This window comes from Homo sapiens, chromosome X, assembly GCF_000001405.40.
Source record: "Homo sapiens chromosome X, GRCh38.p14 Primary Assembly".
Classification (NCBI taxonomy): Eukaryota; Metazoa; Chordata; class Mammalia; order Primates; family Hominidae; genus Homo; species Homo sapiens.
Genome location: NC_000023.11, coordinates 30,036,029 through 30,040,453, shown reverse-complemented (window position 1 = coordinate 30,040,453; position 4,425 = coordinate 30,036,029). Strand labels below are relative to the sequence as shown.

Below are 4,425 nucleotides of genomic sequence, written 5' to 3'. Positions count from 1 at the left end.
CTATTTATAAATGATGGAACCAGAATTGCCTGAGTATAAAGCTCTTACTTTCTCCCATATCATGCGTTGAGTAAGTTTCCATAGCTATTAACATCTATTCTCAAACGTTGCTAGATTTCCATGATGCCAGTGTTTACCTATTTGTGGATATCCTTACAGAGCTTGTAACTTTTACAAGAAAATAATTGCCATAGACGTATAGACTGTAATAGACTATCTCATGTGTTATTGTTTGTTTCTTACTCATCTCTTAGATTTTTAGGTGCTGGAGTAGAAGAAAAAATGCCTGAGTGGAAATATGAAAATATTCTATAACCCTAATTACAGATTTAAAATCTCTGGCAATACAATCACTTAGGCAATTCTGTCATTTTTCTTAAGTGTTACCACAGGCATTCTAGTCTAGCATCACTGTCTTTCAATGATTTCAAATATCTGGTGCCTTTCAACAGGAATTACAAGCATGCCTCAGAAATATTTCAGGTTCAGTTCTTGACAACTGCAATAAAGCAAGTATTGCAATAAAGTGAGTCACATGAATTTTTCGGTCTCCTGATGCATGTTAAAGTTATGTTTATAATATACTGTCGTCTATTAAGTGTGTGATAGCATTATATCTAAAAACAATGTACATACCTTAATTTAAAATACTTTATTGCCTAAAAATGATAATAATTGTCTGAGTTTTCAATGAGTCATAATCTTTTTGCTCATGGAGTTTCTTGCCTCAGTGTCAATAGCCACCAACTGATCAGGGTGGTGGTTGCTGAAAGCTGGGGTGGCTGTGGCAATTTCTGAATATAAGACCACAGTGAAGTTTGTCACACAGATTGGCTCCTCCTTTCATGAAAGATTTATCTGTAGGCAGTGATGCTGCTTGATAACATTTTACACACAGTAGAACTTGTCTCAAAATTGGAGTCAATCTTCTGCTCCTAATGCTTTATCCACTAAGTTTATAGAATGTTCTAAATCCTTTGCTTTCATTTGAACGATGTTCACAGCATCTTCACCAGAAGTAGATTTCATCTCAAGAAAGTCTTGAACCCCTCAAATTCATTCATGAGAGTTGGAATCAACTTTTTTCCAAATGCCTGTTAATGTTGATATTTTGAGCTCTTCCCATAAATCACAGATATTCTTAATGGCATCTAGAATGATAAATCCTTTCCAGAAGGTTTTCAATTTCCTTTGCCTAAATCCGTCAGCAAAATCACTATATAGGGCAGTTATAGCCCTTTAAAATGTATTTCTTAAATAATAAGATTTGAAAGTCACAATTATTCCTTGATCCATGGGTTACAGAATGGATGTTGTGTTGGCAGACATGAAAACAACATAAATTTCTTTGTATGTTTTTATCCATGCTCTTGGGTGACCAGGTACATTGCCAATAAGCAGCAATATTTTGAAAGGAATCTTTTTTTCTGAGCAGTAGTTCTCAACAGTGGGCTTAAAATATTCCCTAAATCATACTGCGAACAGATATGCTGTCATTCAGGCTTTGTTGTTCTATTTAGAGAGCATATGCAGAGTAGAATTAGCATATTTCTTAAAGGTCCTTGCATTTTCAAGATGGCAAATGAGCATTGGCTTCAACTTAAAGTCACCAGTTGCATTCACTCCTAACAATAGAGACAGCCTCTCCTTTGAAACTTTGAACCCAGGCACTGACTCCTTCTCTCTAGTTACGAAAGTCTTAGATGGCATCTTCTTCTAGTAGAAGGGTAGTTAATATAGTTGACCTCTAAACAATGTGGCAGTTGGGGCACTAACACCCCAGGCAGTCAAAAATTCACATATAACTTTTGATTTCCTGAAAGCTTAACTCTAATTGCCTAGTGTTGGCTGGAAGCCTTACTGGTGTCATGAGCAGTTAATTAACACATATTTTGTATGGTGTATGCATTGTATACAGCATTCTTACAATAAAATAAGCTAAAGAAAATGTTAAAATTATAAGAAAGATAAAATATATTTACTATTTATTAAGTGGGAGTGGATCATCATAAAGGTCTTCATTCTTATCATCTTCACATTAAGGAGGCCGAAGAGGAGTGGCTCTTGCTATCTCAGGGGTGGCAGAGGAGGAAGAAAATCCACATATAAATGTATCTGCATAATTCAAGCATGTGTTGATCAAGGGTCAACTCTACATTCAAAACCTATTGTTTAATATAGCCACTTTCATCAATTGTCTTAGCTAGATCTTCTGGATAATTTGCTGCAGCTTCTCCATCAGCACTTGCTGCTTTACTTTGTACCTTTATGTTACGGAGATGACTTTGTTTCTTTAAACTCATGAACCAACTTCTGCTAGTCTTAAACTTTTCTTCTGTAGCTTCCTTACCTCTCAGCCTGCATGGGGTTAAAGAGGGTTAGAATCTTGCTATAAATTAGTCTTTGGCCTCAGGGAATGTTGTGGCTGGTTTGATCTTCTATCCAGACCACTAAAACTTTCTCCATATTATCAATAAGGCTGTTTTACTTTCTTATCATTCATATTTTCACTAGAGTGGCACTTTTAATTTCCTTCAAGGACTTTCATTTGCATTTACAACTTGGCCACATGTTTCGTGTAAAAGACCTAGACTTCAGCCTATTTCAGCTTTTGGCATGCCTTCCCCACTAAGCTTAATGATGTCTAGCTTTTGATTTAAAGTGAGACACATGTAACTCTTCCTTCCACTCGAACACTCGGAAGCTATTGGAGGGTTATTAATAGGCCTAATTTCAATATTGTTTAAGGGATATGAAGGCCCAAGGAGAGGGAGAGAGACAGGGCAATAGCTGATCAGTGGCACAGTCAGAACACACACAACATTCATCATTCATCAATAAAGTTCACCAACATATATGGGTGTGGTTCATGATACCCCAAAACAATTACGATAGTAAAATTAAAGATAACTGATCACAGATCGTCATAACAGATATAATGATGATGAAAAGGTTTAAAATGTTGTGATAAGTACCACAATGTGACACAAAGATATGAAGTGAGTACATGCTGTTGGAGAAAGGGTACCAATAGACTTGCTCAACATAGGCTTGCCACAAACCTTCAATTTGTAAAAAAAATGTAGTATCTGCAGTTCAGTAATCATCCTCCCCTGCCCCCACAGCAACACCAAATTGAACAACTATCCACACAGAAAAGAGCACCTCCATAAGAACCAAAAATCAGGTGAGCGATCACAGTACCAGGTCTTAACATCATATTAAAGACAGAGGCACTGAAAAGCATAGGGAAGACAATCTTGCAGCACTTACGCCACCCCTCCCTCATCCCTGGCAGTGACTGTGTGGTGCAGAAAAATAATCTGTGTGCTTGGAGGAGGGAGAGCTCAGTGATTGTGAGGCTTTGCATTGGAACTCAGTGCTGCCCTGTCACAGTGGAAAGCCGCATGGGGCAGAATTCAGCCAGCATCCACAGAGAAGGCATTTAGACCAGCCCTAGTCGAGGTGAATCCTCCATACCAACAGTCTAGGCCACAATGACTGCAATTCCTAGGTAAGTCCTGGTGCTATGCTGGGCTGAAAGCCAGTGAATTTGGGGTGCACATGACCTAGTGAGACACGTGCTAGAGAGGCCAAGAGAGTGCTTGTGTCACCCCTTCCCAACCCCAGGCAGCGCAGCTCACAGCTCTAGGAGAGACACTTTCCCTCTGCAGAAGGAGAAGAGAGGAAAGAGGAAAGAGGACTTTGTCTTGCAACTTGGATACTAGCTCAGCTACAGTAGGACAGGGTAATAGGCAGAGTCTATAAGGACTGAAATACGCCCTGGTCTCCTGCAGTACCCTCAGGCTTACTAGGATTAGGAAATTCCAGCCTGGAAAATTCTAGTCAGACTGGTTGTCTGCTCTGGAACCCTGTTTCCTGTTAAGATGTTTATCAAGACAATGCGTGCACAGCGGGACACAGACATTCATCAGTCATTCTAATCTTGCCTTTGCCTTGTGATCTTTATAGCCCTTTGAAGCATGTGATCCTTGTGATCTACTCCCTGTTCGTACACCCCCTCCCCTTTTAAAATCCCTAATAAAAACTTGCTGGTTTTGTGGCTCGGAGTCGCCATCATGGTCCTACCAATATGTGATGACACCCCTGGAGGCCCAGCTGTAAAATTTCTCTCTTTGTACTCTTTCTGTTTATTTCTCAGACCAGCCGACACTTAGGGAAAATATAAAGAACCTACATTGAAATATTGGGGGCTGTTTCCCCTGATAATAGACCAAGGGAACCAATAGAGAACTAAGAAAATAAACCCATGCATCTACAATGAATTCATTTTTGACAACAGTGCCAAGAACATACACTGGGGAAAAGATGGTCTCCTCAATAAATGGTGCTGGGAAAACTGGTCCATATGCAGAAGAATGAAAATAGTCTTTTGTCTCTCACTGTGTACAAAAATCAAGTCAA

At 39.2% G+C, this 4,425-nt stretch overlaps 1 annotated feature.

The window, feature by feature from the left end:
- Positions 3,694-4,195: an enhancer, noted in NCBI's record as "NANOG hESC enhancer chrX:30054376-30054877 (GRCh37/hg19 assembly coordinates)". NCBI's record gives its function as "activates a minimal SCP1, AML or CMV promoter by ChIP-STARR-seq in primed H9 embryonic stem cells {active_cell/tissue: H9 hESC(primed)}" and the evidence as "EXISTENCE:reporter gene assay evidence [ECO:0000049][PMID:30033119]".